The sequence below is a fragment of the Homo sapiens genome, chromosome 5 (genome assembly GCF_000001405.40).
Source record: "Homo sapiens chromosome 5, GRCh38.p14 Primary Assembly".
In the NCBI taxonomy this organism is placed as follows: Eukaryota; Metazoa; Chordata; class Mammalia; order Primates; family Hominidae; genus Homo; species Homo sapiens.
This window is the reverse complement of record NC_000005.10, coordinates 140,800,831-140,818,588: the sequence shown is the minus strand read 5'-3', so window position 1 is coordinate 140,818,588 and position 17,758 is coordinate 140,800,831. Positions and strand designations below refer to the sequence as shown.

The following is a 17,758-nucleotide window of genomic DNA, read 5'->3' as shown; positions in this document are numbered from 1 at the left end:
TTGGGATTATAGGCATGAGCCACCATGCCTGGCCTGATTCATTATTAAATGGAGAAAAATGATAATCTCTCAGGTTATATCTGATTTTAAAATCCAAGATCAAGTGAGTGAAAACTTTGTGGGAGGAAAGTTTCTTTTGACATTAGCCAGTACCCAAGTTAGAAATATATTTTTAAAAAGGAAAATAAAATTCTAAAATGGAAAAATGCCACGATTCAAGTTAAGAATTCAATCAATGACTTTGACAGTGGCCTAGAATAACAAGATAAAATTCCTAAAGTAAAAGATGGGTCAGAATAAAACATGGATTATGAAACAAAGAGAAAAAGTGATTTAAAAACAGAAATGGCACATAAAAGACAAGGAATATGGTGAAAAGATTTAACATACATGTACTTATAGTCACAGAAGAATATAAGAGAAAATATGAAGTAGAAGCCGTATTTGAAGGCATACTGCTAAATCTTCTCTTAAACTGATAAAATATTATCAACCCACAGATATAAGAAGCTTTGAAAACTGCAAGCGAGATTAAAAACAAAGCAAATTAACACTGGGCACATGATAGTAAAGCTGTTAAAAGTGAAAAACAGAGTAAGTATACAAAGTAGCTAGACAGAAAAAAAGACACACTAATTGAACAATAAACTTGACAGCCATCATCTCAAAAGAAGACCATGGAATGTCATCTTAAAAGTGCTGGCAAAAATAACTTTCATTCAATACCCAAAACTGTTTCTCAAAAGTGATAGTAAAATTAAGACATTTCCAGATATATAAAAACGTAAAGGTTTCTTTACCAGCAGGCCACACTAAAGGAAATGTTAATTTCTTCAGAAGGAAAATGATCCCAGAAAGAAACATATATAGGTGTTAACAAAACAATGATAATAATGTACTGTGTGTCTAGAACATATAAATAATTGAAAGGCATATCAGTAACAAAAAGTAGGGTACAAGTAAATGGTATAATGATTCAAGGTCTTAGCGTTGCCTGGAATTATTAAAATTATTGATTTAATTGAGGTAATAAGTCAAGGATGTGTGTTATAATCAACAAAAGAGGAAATCAATAAAATAATTTGTAAAAGCATATATAGCTTAAAAAGATAACAGAGGTAGTGACATCAGCAAGATGCTGTTATAGGAATCCCCAGACCCTCCACAGGTATACCAACTCAACAACAATACAAGGACCAATTCCCATGGTGATAAGTGCCGAAACCAGTTAAGAGGGTCCTGGGCTCCAAGCAAGTGTAAAACTAGCTGGGCACTTTTCTGGGGCACTTTCCCTATAGTCCCATCCAGCAGCACAGTTCCATTCAAACAGGGGGAAATTCCCAGCTCCTGTCTTCTCCCTGAGAAGGGAAAGAGAAAGTAAAGCATGCATTCAGTGTTCTGACTTTTCAGGGGAGCTGTCTTGCATATCTCAGAGCACTGATGGAACCTGGCATATTCTAAAATCCTGAGGGCAGCTCAGAATAATAAAGAGCTGGGTGGCGGGCTGATGCTCCTCAGGACCTGTGATACAGCACACAGAGAGAAACTCAGCTCAGCACTCTCTCTCTCATGAGGGAAAGAGAGAGTAAAATGCATCCAAAGTTCCTGAATTTTAGTGGGCAGTCCAAGTTTCTGTCTCACTTGACTCCAGGCACTGATAGGATTCAGCAGAATCTATAACTGAGGGCTTCTCAGAACCTAAAAGAGCTGAGTGAATACTGCTGCTCCAGAGGGCCCACAGTACAGCACACAGACACCACAGAGGGAAAAAGATTAGAGCATCTTAAAAAAAAAAGCTGGCAGATCCCTCTAATTAGGAATTATACACACAAGTCCATAGAAGATGCATCCACAGAAAAGGTTTGAGAGGTCCCTAGAATCTCTAGCCAGCCTGATTAGTAAAGATCTTTCCATGTACAAATCCAGTCCATAAAGACTGGAAGAGGTAGCTGGTGTGTTGTTGTTTTTTGTTTTTTTGAAATGTATAGATATCAACACAAAGTAATAAGGAATATGAGAAAACAGGAAACATGGCCCAATCAAATAGTGCGTGCCCACACACACACACACACACACACACAAACACACCTCCAGAAACCAAACCTAAAGAAATAGAGCTATGTGAATTACTTGACAAAGTATTCAAAATAATTGTCATAAAGATGTTCAGTGAGCTCAGGAAAATAATGCATAAGCAGAATCAGAATTTCAGCAGATAGAAAATATTCAAAAGAACTAAAAAGAAATTTTGGAACTGAAGAATACAATAATTGAACTGAAAATTTTACAGACATGTTCAACAGCAGACTTAATCAAGTAGAAGAATGAGTCAGTGAACTCAAGGACACATCATTTGAAATTATCCAGACAGAGTAGCAAAAAGAGCAAGAAATGAAAGAGAGTAAAGAAAGCCTAAGAAATTGATAGGACATCCTCGAGCAGGCTGCTCTACTCATTATGACAGTTTCAAAAGAAGAAGCCATAAGAGAAAAGGACAGACAGCTTATTTTTTAAAATTACATCTGAAAACTTCCCAAATATGAGGAAGGAAATGGACATCAAGATCCAAGAAATGTTAAGAATTTAGAAAGCAGCAAAAGAAAAATGCCTCATCACGTACAAAAGAACACCCCTAACTCTACCAGTAGATTTCTCAGTAGAAACCTTGCCATCCAGAAAGGGGTGAGATGTTATACTGAAAGTGCTGAAAAGAAAAAGAACTGCCAGCCAAGAATACCAAATCCACCAAAGTTTGTCTTCAAAAATGAAAAAGAGATAAAGACCTTCCCAGTTAAACAAAAGCTGAAGGTGATCACAATTAGACTTGCCTTACAAGAAATGTTAAGAGGGGGCCTTTTGAGTTAAAATTAGGGGATGCTAAACAGAAATACATAGGTATTTTATTAAAGTATAAAGCTCACTAGTAAAGATAAATATATAGATAAAAACAGAATACTATAATACTGTAATGGTGGTACAAAAGTCACTTTAAAATCTGATATTTTAAAATCTGATTAAAAGACAAAAGTACAGAAAAACTAACTATAAAATAATGTATACACAATATAAAAAGATGTATTTATGACATCAATAACATAAAATTTGGGTAGGGGAGAAGTAAACATAATGAGTTTTGTTTTGTGATTGTAGTAAAGATGCTATCAGTTTAAAATACATTTTTATAAGAGTTTTAAAATGTAAGCCCCATGGTAACCACAAAGAAAATACCTATGGAAGATATACAAAAGAAAACAGGAAAGGAACAAAAACATAGCATTACAATTCTCAATAAAACACAAAGGAAGACAGTAAGAGGAGGAAAGAGGAGCAAAAAGTCTACAAGCTGCAAACAACAATTAACAAAGAGGCAACAGTAAGTTATGCCCTATCAATAATTACTTTAAATAAAAATGGGATAAACTCCCCCAATCAAAAGATACAAAGTGGTTGAATTGATTTTTTTTAAAGACCCAATTATATGCTAACTACAAGAGATTTGCTTTAGATTTAAAGACCTGGATAGCCTGAAAGTTAAAGGATATTAAAAAAATTTCATGCAAATTGTAACCAAAAGAGTGCAAATGTGGAAACAGCTACATCACACAAAATAGTCTTTAAGTCAAAAAGTGTCATAAGAGACAAAGAAGGACATTATATAATGATAAAAGGTCAATTCACCAGAAGGACATAGCAATTATAAATACATATGCACCCAACATTAAAACACCTAAATATATGAGGCAAACATTCACAGAAATGGAGAAATAGATAGCAATACAATAAAGTCAAGTGTTGTATAACAACGTTTCAACCAATAACAGACCACATGTACAAGAGTAGTCCCATAAGATTATAATGGAGCTGAAAAATTCCTATCACCTAGTGATGATGTAGCAGTCATAATGTTGTAGCACATTACTCACATGTTTGTGGTGATGTTGGTGTAAACAAACCTATTGCACTACCAGTTATATAAAAGTACAAGATAGCACATACAATTATGTACAGTAATTTACAGTACATAATACTTGATACAGATAGTAAATGTTACTGCTTTATGTATTTACTATACTTTTTAGTGGTATTTTACAGTGTACTCTTTCTACTTATAAAAAATACATTAACTCAAAAAAAAAAAAGAAAAAAGGTCACCACAAAACAGCCTCAGGAAAGTCTTTTGGGAAGTATTCCACTAGAAGATATTGTTATCATAGGAGATGATAGCATCGCATGTGTAACTGCCCCAGAAGACCTTCCAGTGGGACAAGATATGGAGGTGGAAGACAATGATATTGATGATCCTGACCCAATACAGTCCTAGGCTAGTATGGGTGTTTATATCTTCATTTTTAACAACAACAACAAAAAAAAACACTAAGTAAAAGTGAAAAAAATAAAAAAATTAAAAGTCAAAAAAACTTGTAAAATAAGGATATAAAGAGAAAATATTTTTGTACAGCTGTACAATGTGTTTGTGTTTTAAGCTAAGCGTTATTACAAAAGAGTCAAAAGGTTAAAAAATTTAAGTTTACAAAGTTGAAAAGTTACAGTAAGCTAAGGTTAATTTATTACTGAAGAAAGAAAAAAAATTGAGACAGAGTCTCACTCTGTTGCTCAGGCTGGAGTGCAGTGGCACGACCATAGCTCACTGTAGCCTTGACCTCCTCAAGTCAAGGATCCTCCCACTTCAGCCTCCTGAGTAGCTGGAACTACAAGTGTGTGTCACCACACCTAGCTAATTTTTAAAAATTATTTTCTAGAGACAGGGTCTCACTATATTGCCCAGGCTGGTCTTGAACTCCTGGGCTTAAGTGATCCTCCTTCCTCAGCCTCCCAAAGTGCTGGGATTACAGGCATGAGCCACCATGACCAGCCTGTAAAAAGAAAATTTTTTGATAAATTGAGTGTAGCCTAAATGTATAGTGCTTTAAAGTCTACATTAGTGCACAGTAATGTCCTGGGCCTTCACATTCACTCACCATTCACTCATTGACTCATGCAGATAAATTTCCAGCCCCGCAGTCTCCATTCATAGGGTAAGTACCCTATTCAGGTGTACCATTTTAAAAATCTGTACAATGTTTTTACTGTACCTTTTAGATGTTTAGATATATTTAGGTATACAAATACTTACCATTGTGTTACAATTCCCTATAGTATTCAGTACAGTTAACATATGTACAGGTTTGTAGCCTAGAAGCAATAGATCATGTAACCTAGGTCTGTAGTAGGCTATACTATCTAGGTTTGTGTAAATATGTAAGTACACTCTCATGTTTGCACAGTGATGAAATCTCAGAATGATACAATTCTCAGAATGTATCTCCAATGACTGTAGTAGGAGATTTTGGTATCCTACTTTCAATAAGGAATAGAACATTCAGACAGAAAATCAGCAAGGAAGCAGAGGACTTGAACAACACTATAGCTGAAATGGAACTAACAGACATATACAGAAAATTCCACCCAACAGCAGCAAATATACAGTCTTCTCAAGCACACTCAGAGCATTTTCCAGGATAAATCACACGTCAGGTCACAAAACAAGTCTTAACAAATTCAAGAAGGTTGAAATCCTACTAAATATCTTTTCTGACCACAGTGGAATAAAACTAGAAATCAATACTGGAATTAAAACTGGAAAATCTGCAAATATGTAGAAATTAAACAACAGAATTTTGAACGAAATTCTGTTCAAAATTTCATTTGAATGAAAGGGGAAATCAAAAGATGAATTAGAAAATATGTTAAGATAAACAAAAATGAAAACACAACACAATAAAAACTTACAGGATACAACAAAAGCAGTACTAAGAAGGAATATTAAGCTGGGCAAGCTCAGTGGCTCACGCCTGTAATCCCAGTGCTTTGGGAATCCAAGGCACAAGGATCACTTGCAGGGAGCTATGATCGTGCCTCTGTACATCATAGTGAGATCTTGTCTCTTAAACATGAAAACAAAAACAAAGAAGGGAGTTGTAAATGCCTACACTAAAAATGAAGAAAGAAGAAAGATCTCAAATAAAAAACTTAACAACTCAAGGAACTAGAAAAAAAGGACAAATGAGGAAGCCCAAAGCAAAGGGAGGAAATACTATAATAAAGATTAGAGCAAAAATAAATGAAAAAAAGTTTAAATTAAGTTTTTAAACTTAGTTGATTTTTTGAAAAAACAACAAAACTGACAAGCCCCTTAGCTAGACTAAGAAAAAAACAAAAAGACTGGAAGTCAGAAACAAAAGAGGTGGCATTACACCTGATGCCACAATTATAAGAGGCTTTTAAAATCATATACCAAAAAATTCAATAACCTAGAAGAAATTGATTAATTCCTAGAAACATACAAACTACCAAGACATAATCATAAAAAATCTAAACAAAGCTGTAACTAGTAAGGAGATTGAATCAGTAATCCAAACCTCCTAACAACAACAACAACAAAAGCCCAAAACCAGATATCTTTCCTGGAGAATTCTACCAAACTTTTAAAGAAGAATCAATGATAATTGTTTTCAAACTCTTCCAAAAAAAAAAAATTGAAGGAGAGGGAACACTTCCAAACTCATTTTAAAAGTCCAACAAAAAAATGGTAGTAAAAAATAAATCTTCAAAAGAAACTACAATCAGAGTGAACAGGCAACCTACAGAATGGGAGAAAATTTTTGCAATCTACCCATCTGACAAAGGGCTAATATCCAGAATCTACAAAGAACCTAAACACATTTACAAGAAAAAAACAAAAAACCCTATCAAAAAGTGGGCAAAGGATATGAACAGACACTTCTCAAAAGAAGACATTTATGCAGCCAACAGACACATGAAAAAATGCCCATCATCACTGGTCATCAGAGAAATGCAAATCAAAACCACAATGAGATACCATCTCACACCAGTTAGAATGGCAATCATTAAAAAGTCAGGAAACAACACATGCTGGAGAGGATGTGGAGAAATAGTAACGCTTTTACACCGTTGGTGGGAGTGTAAACTAGTTCAACCATTGTGGAAGACAGTGTGGCGATTCCTCAAGGATCTGGAACTAGAAATACCATTTGACCCATTACTGGGTATATATCTAAAGGATTATAAATCATGCTACTATAAAGACACATGCACATGTATGTTTATTGCGACACTATTCACAATAGCAAAGACTTGGAACCAACCCAAATGTCCATCAATGATAGACCGGATTAAGAAAATGTGACACATATACACCATGGAAGACTATGCAGCCGTAAAAAAGGGTGAGTTCATGTCCTTTGTAGAGACATGGATGAAGCTGGAAACCGTCATTCTGAGCAAACTATCACAAGCACAGAAAACCAAACACTGCATGTTCTCACTCATAGGTGGGAATTGAACAACGAGAGCACTTGGACACAGGGTGGGGAACATCACACACTGGGGCCTGTTGAGGTGTGGGGGACTGGGGGAGGGATAGCATTAGGAGAAATACCTAATGTAAATGATGAGTTGATGGGTGCAGCAAACGAACATGGCACACATGTATACCTATGTAACAAACCTGCACGTTGTGCACATGTATCCTAGAACTTAAAGTATAATAAAAATAATAAGAAGAAATAAAAATAAATCTTGACCCCTACCTCACAACAATGATAAAAATATGTATATTCCAAATGGATTGTAGATGTAATGTAAACAATGAAATAAAAGATACCACAGAAAATTATCTTTGTGAAATAGGATCAGAAGCAAAAATTGATAAATTGAGTTTAATCAAAATTATGACTTTCTATTCACCAAAAGACAAAAAAGAATTAAAAACTAGCCATGAGGTTGAAAACTACTAAAAAAAGGAGTTATGTTCAGAATACAAGATTTGTTTAAGTAATAAGAAAAACAAGATAAGGAAATAAATAAAGTTCTATGGAAGCAAAAAGAAGAGAAAAAAGAAAAGAAAAACAACAGACTAGAGAAATAGGAGATTTGAGCAGCTATTGCACAAAATAAGGTATAAAAATTGCCAAAATAAAATAGAAAGGTACTCAACTTCATTTAAATATAAAATAATTTCAAAATGAGATTACAAAAGTCACCCAGTAAAATGGCTAACATGAAAATAACCTGACAAATGTAGAGATGATGTGGCCCAGCAGAAAGCCTTATGCACTACTAGGAATGTAAACAGGTAAAAACATCTTGGAAAATTGGTTGGTGTTAGCTACAAAAGACAAAGATACACACATATTCTGTGACCCACAAACACAACTCTTAGGCAAAAACCTGAGAGAAATCTGTGTACATGGGCATCAAAGAAATGTACAATATATTTATGATGGCATTATTTGAAATAGACATTGAGGCACAATGCAAATTCCTGAACAGTAGAATAAATAAGGTATAGTATATTTATGAAATAGTACTAGAAACAGAAATAAATAAACTACAACTACATATAACAACATGGATAATTTCATAAACAATGAGTGATAAATACAAATAACACACAAATGCACAGACAATACATGTTGTGCAAGTCCAATTAGATAACGTTCCCAAAACAGGCCCCGAACAAACAGTTATAAAAGGCAAATGTGCGGTTACACTGGAGGAAAAATAAGGGAAGTGATTTGGCAGGTGCATGCGAGGGGCTTCAGCGATGGAGGCAACGGAGCTTTTCACTTTCATACAATTTATGGAGCTTTATTATTTCAGCCTGTGCACATTTGTTTATATGTAATAGGTTAAATAATAGTAAAATGTTTTCTAAAATGTTGATTATTACCAAAAACAAAGAGGGTGAATATAGTGAAAATTTACTAGAAATTACAGTTCTGTTAATATGCATTGAATAATGCAGCATAAAATGAAGGAAGGCAATATATATTGCTCTGATGTCCTATAATTCCAAAAGACTTTAGTTAAAATGGATATGTAAAAAGAGGTAAAATTTTAACCCAGGGAAATTTGACTCTTAGAAATAAATTTACGAAGAAGTTGATAGAGAAAAACAATACGAAAATTAAACAAAAGGATGTTATACACTAACCTTTGCAAAGGATTCCTCAGTTGTCTGCAGCTGATCTTCTCTGTCCCTAGAGTCAGGTAAACTGGGGCTGAAGGCCATGAGGTCGGTCTTGGGTGGGCCCTCACCAGAGCACACCCTCGGCCTCCTCTGCTGCGAGTATGACCAGCTCCCCACCGCACTGGAGCACACCAGCGTGGGCTTGCCCGGAGCGCACGCGCCCTCGGTGGGCAGCGCAGAGCACCGCAGCGCGGTGTACAGCAGCAGCGTGAGCACCAAAAGGCTGGACACCGCGCAGATGGCAATGATCAGGTATACGTTGACATCCACCAGCGCAGCATCGGGACCCACAGCGCCCACCAACGCCCGTGAGGAGGCCTTTGGCGCCTGTCCACTCTCCACAAGTGACACCAGCACAGTGGCCGTGGCCGTCAGCGCGGGCTCGCCGTGGTCCTTCACCAGTACCAGTAGGCGGTGGCGCGGAGCGTCCGTTTCGTCCAGGGCACGCGTTGTGCTGATCTCGCCAGTGTACAGCCCCACGCGGAACGGGATGCGCGCGCCACCAGTCCCCGGCTGCAGCTCGTACGAAAGCCACGCGTTGTAGCCCGAGTCAGCATCCACCGCGCGCACCTTTGCCACCACGTGGCCCACACCCACCGACCATGGCACCAGCTCGCTCACTGCGCCACCAGTGCCACCCGCCCGAGGCGCTAGCAGTGCTGGCGCGTTGTCGTTTTCGTCCAGCACGAACACCTGCAGCGTCACGTTGCTGCCCAGAGGTGGCACGCCGGCATCGCGAGCGGTCACCTGAAACTGCAGCAGCTCTAGCTCCTCGTGGTCCAGCGGCTGCAGCGCGTACACCTTGCCGCTCTCCGCATGCACCGAAACGTAGCTCGACAGCGCGCGCTCCCCTACCCGCCGCTCTACCAGCGAGTAGGACACCAGCGCGTTCTCCTGCGCGTCCGCGTCCCACGCAGACACAGTGAAGATGTGGCAGCCCGGCGGGTTGTTCTCCTTCACGAACACTGTGTACTCGGGCTGCGCGAACGCCGGAGCGTTGTCGTTCACATCAGCCACCTCCACAGAAACACTGGCCGTGGCCCACAGCGAAGGCGAGCCCCCGTCTCGCGCGGTCACCACCAGCTCATAGGCTGACACGCTCTCGCGGTCCAGGGCACTGTCCAGCACCAACGAGTAGTAATTCTTGAAGGTGGACACCAGCTTGAAGGGGACGTGGGACGTCAAGGAGCAGGTGACCAGCCCATTGACACCCATGTCTTTGTCGGACACGCTGATCAGGGCGATGACTGTACCCAGTGGAGCGTCCTCTCTAATTGGAAGTGATAAAGACTTGAATTCCAAATCTGGGACATTATCGTTGTTGTCTTCTACTTCCACAATAACTCTACAATGGCCAGAAAGTGGGAGCTGTCCCTTATCAATGCCCTCTACAATAATTTCATAGGATTTGCTTTCTTCAAAGTCAATATATCCCTTTACAATAATTTGTCCAGTAATTGGATCTATGTGAAACTTGGATTTCACATTTGGCGAAATATCATTTGAGAATGAATAAACAATGTCCCCATTCAATCCTTCGTCTAAATCTGAGGCGTTAAGTTTAATTACCAATGTTCCATTAGGAACATTTTCTAGTAATCTCACCTTATAAATGGTTCTGTCAAAAGCTGGGGCATTGTCATTGGCATCCAGTACTGTGATGAGTAACTGAACGGTGCCAGTCAACTCGGGTTTGCCTCCATCAGTGGCTGTGAGCACTAAAAAAATCTCCGGAGCTTCTTCTCTGTCTAAAGATTTCCGTAATATAAGCCCAAGACCTTTTACCAGCTCGTCATCAGGTGGTTTTTCCAGAGAAAAGTATTCATTTGGGCTCAGTCTGTAAGTGAGCAGGGCGTTCTCCCCGATATCTGCATCCGAGGCGCCCTCTAGTGGAAACCGAGAGTCAAGCGGCCTGGATTCCGCGATGGACAGGTTCTTTTGTGTTGCTGGGAACACCGGCGGGTTATCGTTAATGTCCCTCACCTCCACGTCCACATGGAAAACCTGCAGCGGCCTGTCTACGATCACCTCCAGGTGGATGCTGCACTCCGCGCTCCGCCGGCACAGCTCCTCCCGGTCGATCCGAGAATTCACAAACAAAATGCCATTCTGCAGATTTACCTCCAGAAGGCCTCCGCGGCCCTTGGACGCCACCCGGAACAGGCGCGGCACCAGCTCCGCCAGCTCCAGTCCCAGGTCCTGCGCGATGCGGCCCACGAAGGTGCCGTGTTTGGCCTCCTCGGAGACCGAGTAGTGGAGCTGACCGTTCCCTGCCTCCCAGGCTGCGAGGAGAAGAAGTAAGAGCAGCAGACGCCGGGATTCCTGGCCGCTTCCCCAGGAAAACTCCATCTTTAGTGCACAGTATTTTGTTCTGATTAAATATCGTTTCTCAAAGTCAAGGGAAATCTTTTAATCGGTCAGTCAAGTGCAGCTGCATCCTCCATATTTCAGACTCCAAAGAGTGTATATGGTTCCTTCCAGTAAGAATAGAAGGAATTTTCCCTTCTTCCTCCTTCTCTCATGTATTTTGTGGTAAAGAGCGACATCATGTGGCTCCAAACCGTAAGTAGCAATTGTGGAAACCCCCACACACTCTACTGTAAACTACTTGGTTTTATTTATTATTTCAGTCGTTTCGGAGAATAGGAATACATTTTGTACTACTGTGGTACACATTGTACCACTGATTGATTGAGTGTGGTCCTTAGTTTCGCCATAGGGGCAACTTTTACTTCAGTAGAAATAATTTTTTCAACACAGGTTTTAAGTATTACAGAGACCTAACTATACACTTTGTAAACATGTAACTGTAAACTGTTGATTAGAAAAATTCATTACAGATTCCTGTGTTCCCAAGAATTCCAGGGTTTTTTTTTATTAATGATAACACCCTCTTCACCCTAGTATTTCTGGTGTTGTTGACTTGAGGGGACTGGTCTCTAGGGAACTTCTGGTGCCAAGAACAAGCTATTGACAGGGAAATTTGCAGATGTTTTATAAAAGGATCAAAGACCATCAGCATTTAATTAGATGTCTTCCTTGAGTCATGTCAGGGCTGAAAGTGCAAGGAAGCAGGAAGTTATAGCAAATAGCTTGCATGGAAAAGCATTCCAAATAATTTTATTCATTGGAACTCATTTGCTCCCATGAGAAACGCTGGTATTCTCATTTTGACTCTTACAGTTTATAAGTACTTGCTTGTTCTCCAGTATGTAATGTGCCTAAGCTTCTATTTTCTCCTATAGTGCTTATATATTTTAGCCAAACTGAATATTTCCTGCTTCCAATAGCTTTTTTTAATAAACAAGCATGTTCATTTTGTCCTGTCTATAAGTAATCCACATCATTTCTAAACTCTTCTAAAGCCAATTTACCCCATTTTATAACCACTTAAAACTTCCCTGACCCATGAAGAATGTCATGATCAAACCAATTGAACAGGTATTTTTTCTTCTTTTACAAACTGCAGCACCAGGGTGGAATCGCGTGGGCCATTTATTACATTAATTTATCTCTTATAAGCATTTGAGTATGTGTGTCCTTTTTTGGAATATATATTTTAAAGGGAATAGTTGTATCTTAATTGTTTAATAGCTCAGAGGGACTTACCTAATATTTCCTAAATATTTACCCTGCAGAAAATGTTTGCTTCCTTCCATTGCCTAATAAAATGCATTAATTTAAGGTGATCGCATATCTAGTTGGGAAAATGTGGTGTTTCAATAGCCTCTATGATTTTCTAAAGATACAAAAAAAGTCTCTAGACATTTCCCCAATTAAGATGTATTTCAAGTTCAATGTTGAAAACTTGGGTTTTAGCTTAATTTTTATTCTAATTCTTGGTAATCATGATCTTTGAATCATCCTGGGTATTAATGGGGAATGAAGACTTCCCAATAAATAAACCACAATACATTTTCTTACATAAAGAAATTTAATATATAAAGACATAATGGTAGCCATTTAAAAACTTTCCTTGCCTCCTATATCCATAAAGTTATTTTCATCCTGTTTGTCTAAACAAAAAATCAATCTAGTGAAAATAGCTTTACGCTCCCTCTCTATTGAAGAACTACACTCACACAAACACACACACACAAAAACCAAAACAACAACAAAAAACCCACCAAATTTCTGAATCAAACAGAAACCAGAGTACTTTCACTATGTGGGGACCCAAACTATATTTTTACAAAATGATCATTGACATCAAGCACATTGGAAAAAAGGAGGAAGAATTCCATTTTCACCCATTTCATTTGTAATATTTTCATTTACCAGGTATTTTAATGTACAGATGGGGAATGCAGCAGAATAGAAAACAATGTTTATTTGGTAGCTATTCAATATTTATTTGGCATAGCATCAGTACATCTGTGAAGTGAAAATTCCAAAGTCTTCAAAATGTCTTTGCCAAGAGTCTTGTTAGACAATAGTTTCAAGAGGCAAGCTGGATTTGAAGATTGAAGTTCCATATCTGGGAAGACAAGTACTTTGGCTGACTCTATTATATTCAAGAAGCTGATAACAGAACTAAATTTTTAAAATACTGACCTGAGATGGACACACTATGGCTACTACTTCATGGACAAGGGAGCAACAAAGGATAGTGCCAAAAAAGGAAATAAAGAAAATGGAAGTGAGGGGAAGGAGAGGAGTCAAGAAAAATATCTATTTTACGTGTTAGACCTCCCACACTGTCAATGAGTATTAACCAGGTTTCAGTTGGTTACTATTTCTCTCCAGTGGTAGGGAAACTTAAATGGGAGTCCAACTAATTGCTAGAGGAGATAACCAAATATGTAGGGGTAGTGATTAGAAAAAAGTCTACCTTCAATTTCATTTGGTTCTGGTTATTTGGAGTTTTCTACTTATTGCATGGCACACATTAATAGGCAGGATGCTATTCAGAGAAGTTAACCAGTAATAACATTATAACATTGGCTTATCAAACTTATTTCATATTAGCATCCTTAGTATGGTATGCAAAAGACACTAATGAATAAAAAGTTTTGCTAGTAGGGATAGTTTTAAAATTAGATACCATAATTATTTTCAAGATATTGTTCAGATTGAAAATTATTTTTAACAAGATTTAAAACATTCTTTTAAAATGAATATATAAATATACTATACAACTATTAAATTTTCACTTCATATTGATATTTTAGTTATTAGTAATAAATTTTAACATATAATACAGTAGTATTATTAAAGTAGTATTAAATAAAGTAGTGATAAACTAAAGATGAACAAAGATGCAATTCTAAATGCAATTGTTATTCTCGATTTTTTTCCCAACTGGGAAATCAAGAAACAATAAACGGTATTGCCAAATTAGAGCACAAGGCCTAAAATGAATCATATTCAAGTAAAAAATAAGGATTGAGACTCCAAACAAGTGAATAAGAGAATAAAAGAGGTTCCATAAAAGACAACAGGTGTAATGATCTAATTTTTGAAACTGAAGGTGGAAAAGCATAATCAATAGGGAGTTATAAGCATTAGGTGAACTCATAAAATGAGCAAGTAACATTTGTACTAACAGGTAGTAGGAAGTCCAAATGAAAAGTGGCAAAAGATATTGAAGAAGCATTGTATAGGGATAAGTATAAAACAAGTCGAAGTCAGATTCTCTAAATAATGCAATTCATCTAAGAAAAAATATTTGTCTTATACCCAGGCATTTAGCAATAAAATAATTCTACTACTGCACCTAATAACAAAACAAAATTACAAGTGTGGATATCATAACTTACTGCTGATTTGGTTCAAAAATTAGCAACAAAAATCTTACCGTTTTAACCACAAAACCACAAAACTGGAAAAGTCTAATTATGAATCACATAATTCATACTTAACTATTAATGTATTTCCAGAGGAGTGGAAACATTGAGGAATGAAAAACAAAGACATTTTGGAAAGAATAAATAAAAATTACTCACTTTGGCTGAGAGATCAACGTCCACATCCTGTTTCTCCTCTCTATCCCGGCTAATTGGACAAGGAGGAAGGCTAGGGCTAAAAGCCATGAGGTCGGTCTTGGGCAACCCCTCTCCAGAGCACACCCTCTGCTGCCTCTGCTGCGAGTATGACCAGCTCCCCACCGCGCTGGAGCACACCAGCGTGGGCTTGCCCGGCCCACAGTCGCCTTCGGTTGGCGGCGCGGAGCACCGCAGAGCAGTATATAGCAGCAGTGTGAGCACCAACAGACTGGACACCGCGCAGATGGCGACGATCAAGTACACGTTGACATCCACCAGTGCAGCTTCCGGGCCCGTGGCGCCAGCGGACGCCTGGGACGAGGCCTTGGGTGCCTGGCCACTCTCCACCAGCGACACCAGCACAGTGGCCGTGGCGGTCAATGAGGGTTCACCGTGGTCCTTCACCAGCACCAGTAGGCGATGGCGCGGGGCGTCCACCTCGTCCAGGGCACGGGTCGTGCTGATCTCTCCCGTGTACAGCCCCACGCGAAACGGGATGCGCGCACCGCCGGTCCCAGGCTGCAGCTCATACGAAAGCCACGCGTTGTAGCCTGAGTCTGCATCCACTGCGCGCACCTTCGCTACCACGTGGCCCGCACCCACTGACCGCGGCACCAGCTCGCTCACTGCGCCACCGATGCCACCCACCCGAGGCATCAGCAGTGCCGGCGCGTTGTCGTTCTCGTCCAGCACGAACACCTGCAGCGTCACGTTGCTGCCCAGAGGCGGCACGCCCGCATCGCGCGCACTCACCTGGAACTGCAGCAGCTCTAGCTCCTCGTGGTCCAGCGGCTGCAGCGCGTACACCTTGCCGCTCTCCGCGTGTACCGACACGTAGCTCGACAGCGCGCGCTCCCCCACCCGCCGTTCCACCAGCGAGTAGGACACCAGGGCGTTCTCCTGCGCGTCCGCGTCCCGCGCAGACACCGTGAAGATGTGGCAGCCCGGCGGGTTGTTCTCCTTCACGAACACCGTGTACTCGGACTGCGAGAATGCCGGCGCATTGTCGTTCACGTCGGCCACCTCCACGGACACGCTGGCCGTGGCCCACAGTGAAGGCGAGCCCCCGTCCCGAGCAGTCACCACCAGCTCATAGGCCGACACGCTCTCGCGGTCCAGAGGGCTGTCCAGCACCAATGAGTAGTAATTCTTGAAGGTGGACACCAGCTTGAAGGGGACGTGGGGCGTCAGCGAGCAGGTGACCTGTCCATTGACTCCTGAGTCGCGGTCGGACACGCTGATCAGAGCGATGACTGTGCTAAGTGGAGAGTCTTCTAATACAGGTAAAGATAGTGATTGAATAACTAACTCAGGTACATTATCATTGATGTCCACAATTTCGAGTAGAACTGTGCAGTGATCTGACATTGGGGGATTTCCTTTATCCGTGGCTTCTACCTGGATTTCATATGACTTACTTTCCTCGAAATCTATGTTACCCTTTACACTGATTTGTCCATTGACTGGATCTAAATGGAATTTTGACAGAATATCTGCTGACATGTCCGTATTGAAAGAATACGCGATATCCTTATTTACTCCTTCATCCAAATCGGTGGCGTTAACGGTCACCACTAGGGTACCATTTGGTGCATTTTCGAGTAATCTGACTTTATAGATCGTCCTCTCAAACGCTGGGGCGTTGTCGTTTACATCTAAAACAGTGATCTTTAGTTGAGTCGTGCCAGTGAGCTCTGGTTTCCCACCATCAATTGCTGTTATTAGTAAATAATGCTTAGGAGTGTCCTCTCGATTTAAATTTTTTTTCAACACGAGTCCAAGGGATTTAATTTCCTCATCATTTCTTTTAACGTCCAAGGTAAAATATTCAGTGGAATCAAGACTGTAAGTCAACAACGAATTTGTTCCGATATCTGCATCTGATGCGCCCTCTAGCGAAAACCGAGAGCCAGGCTGTCGGGATTCGGAAATAAACAGATTCTTTACAGCCATTGGAAAAACTGGCGCGTTGTCATTAATGTCCTTCACTTCCACCTCCACATGGAAAACCTGCAGCGGCCTGTCCACGATCACCTCCAGGTGGATGCTGCACTCCGCGCTCCGCCCGCACAGTTCCTCGCGGTCTATCCGAGAATTCACAAACAAAATGCCATTCTGCAGATTTACCTCCAGAAGGTCCCCGTGTCTTTTGGACGCCACCCGGAACAGGCGCGGCACCAGCTCCGCCAGCTCCAGCCCCAGGTCCTGCGCGATGCGGCCCACGAAGGTGCCATGCTTGGCCTCCTCAGAGACGGAGTAGTGGAGCTGGCCGCTCCCCACCTCCGAGGCTGCGAGGAGCAGAAGAGAAAGCAGCAGGCACTGGGCTCCAGGATCTTCTCGCCAGGAGAACAACATTGCAAGTATTTTCCAAATATTAGATTGCCTTTACATTGATCCAAAGTTTAAAAATAATTCGAGTTCCTTATCTTCATTTCTTAAACTCCTCGGTGTTAAATTTTAGAGAGGATGAAGCAAAGCAGTATCTGAATACGTAATGCACGCTGTTATTTCTTTTGTGGAGAAAGACCTTGTGGTGGACAGCGACATCATGTGGCTAAACGTGTAAGTATTAAATATGTAAACGTATCTTCTTTTCCTTGTATGTCGTTTGAACTTTCCCAAAATTTCTAGTTTCAATTGTAATATCCTTCGGTCACTCCTCAAAGTCCTTATATTTTATCTAAATATTTCCTTAGAACTTTTATACTAATTCACTATCAAT

The 17,758-nt window shown here is 40.1% G+C and overlaps 4 protein-coding genes and 1 further gene across 8 annotated transcripts in view; all 5 read right to left on the bottom strand.

The window, feature by feature from the left end:
- PCDHA4 (protocadherin alpha 4) overlaps nt 1-11,521 on the bottom strand; it is a 205,280-nt gene extending 193,759 nt beyond the window's left edge. The window contains exon 1 of one of the 2 annotated variants that reach the window (NM_018907.4): nt 9,017-11,521. In NM_018907.4, the coding sequence (NP_061730.1) occupies nt 9,017-11,401 (2,385 nt within the window). In that variant the 5' untranslated portion in view covers nt 11,402-11,521. Of the gene's footprint in view, nt 1-995 lie in introns of those variants that run through there. The other variant, NM_031500.3, reaches the window with a different exon arrangement.
- PCDHA3 (protocadherin alpha 3) overlaps nt 1-17,532 on the bottom strand; it is a 211,291-nt gene extending 193,759 nt beyond the window's left edge. Inside the window, exon 1 of one of the 2 annotated variants that reach the window (NM_018906.3) lies at nt 14,998-17,532. In NM_018906.3, coding sequence (NP_061729.1) covers nt 14,998-17,391 — 2,394 coding nt within the window. In that variant the 5' untranslated portion in view covers nt 17,392-17,532. Of the gene's footprint in view, nt 1-12,967 lie in introns of those variants that run through there. The other variant, NM_031497.2, reaches the window with a different exon arrangement.
- Nucleotides 1-17,758, bottom strand: part of PCDHA@ (protocadherin alpha cluster, complex locus) — a 226,209-nt gene that overhangs the window by 193,756 nt on the left and 14,695 nt on the right.
- PCDHA1 (protocadherin alpha 1) overlaps nt 1-17,758 on the bottom strand; it is a 226,208-nt gene that overhangs the window by 193,759 nt on the left and 14,691 nt on the right. The window lies entirely within an intron of this gene.
- Nucleotides 1-17,758, bottom strand: part of PCDHA2 (protocadherin alpha 2) — a 217,496-nt gene that overhangs the window by 193,759 nt on the left and 5,979 nt on the right. Inside the window, exon 2 of one of the 2 annotated variants that reach the window (NM_031496.2) lies at nt 12,968-13,529. The exons of the other annotated variant lie outside the window; for it this stretch is intronic. Coding sequence (NP_113684.1) covers nt 13,491-13,529 — 39 coding nt within the window. The 3' untranslated portion in view covers nt 12,968-13,490. Of the gene's footprint in view, nt 1-12,967; nt 13,530-17,758 lie in introns of those variants that run through there. 2 annotated transcript variants of the gene reach the window in all.